Below are 1,593 nucleotides of genomic sequence, written 5' to 3'. Positions count from 1 at the left end.
ATGAATCCCAATAAATAAGTGATATGGAATAAAAACTTACAAGCCTTATTCAGTTCTAAATACATGTAGATATTGCATAAATATCTATGTATAACATGACTAATGTTTAGACCTTCTGTTTTTCTTACACTGTCTTTGAATGTTTGAGCTCTAACAAAATAACTAAAACATTCAAATACAGTGTAAGACAAAGCAGAAGAGAGACCAGTTAGCTCAACCCACTCCTTTTGCTGTCAAGAGAGAAAAGAAAAAACAAAAACAAAACTAAAGAATCAAAAATCATGAGTAACTCAGCCACACCAATGAATTATTTAGCTCAAAATTGACTTCAGATCTTTTATCTTTTTAACATTAACAGAGTAACTGTTTTAAGTTCTGCCAATGATCAGTGAAGTTAGATAGACAAAAATATTCTTCAGATGTACTGATGTAGGATATTAACTACTTGAATAGTTCTACAGGAGCATTCAATCACTTTCTTCACATAAGTTTTGGTTGGGCCACATTCTCAGTGTCCCAACACAGCCTTCTTTCAGGGAGTTTCAATTTATATATACTCTGACTTCATTCAAATAATAATATGAAAATGATTTAATGGCATCTTCTGTTTATGTAATGCAAATATTAACCCTTTTTCTAGTCAGTCATTTAAAACAATAATTTTGTTATCCAGAGAACGTAACCTATCATACCTTGAAGATCTTACTATTTTTGATACTGTTTTTAATACTTAAGTCGATTTGCATAGTTACATTTACAATATTCAATCTCTAAAATGCGAGAGCTCTGAAATATGAGATGTTGATATTTTAAGAGATAATTATTGAAATTATTTATCTTATGAATTTAATTATATTGCTTAGAGAAAATCTTTGTTTTTCAGTATCGAAAACATTTCATTTAAATGAAAGCTAAAACAACCAATTTAAAAAGAATCACATCAAAATATTACATTTTTTCTTTTCATTTTCATTTTGATTTACTAAGCATAATAGCATACATGAAAATATTTAAAGAGAATCACATCAAAATATTACATCTTTTTTGTTTTCATTTTTTAATTACTAAGTGTAGTAGCATTCATTAATGAAGTATGTCTACTCACATACTCTTAAAGTAGTCCCAGTGGTAGATTTTGTCTGCTTTATATTTTAGTCACAATACACATATTTTAAATGAGATCATCAACCAAGCAGTGAGGAGTTATCCAATAAAATGTAGTTTTTTCCTTCAAATTTAAACATTAAATTATATCTTCTTGTAATATTTAGTCTTGAAATTTGCTCTCCCTTCTTTATCACAATGTTCAAAACAATGTTCAAAACTGACTGAAATATATATCTCTATATATTTTAGAAGTATTATCTAGAGCATCGAACATTACATTTGATTTTTATGCAGTGATAGCTAAAGAGCTATTGCAGTACAAAGCAACATTCATCCCTGTCCTGTGCAAAATGACCCTTTTGTTATATTATTTCTTTGTTAACATTTTAATCTGGGCTTGTAAATTTGATCCAATTTTATTTGGTACAGTAAGATGTTTGCTTTAGTCTGTTTCATCTCATCTTCATATTGCTGTTTCAAATGTTA

The sequence above is a fragment of the Homo sapiens genome, chromosome 4 (assembly GCF_000001405.40).
Source record: "Homo sapiens chromosome 4, GRCh38.p14 Primary Assembly".
In the NCBI taxonomy this organism is placed as follows: domain Eukaryota; kingdom Metazoa; phylum Chordata; class Mammalia; order Primates; family Hominidae; genus Homo; species Homo sapiens.
This window is presented reverse-complemented; position numbering follows the sequence as displayed.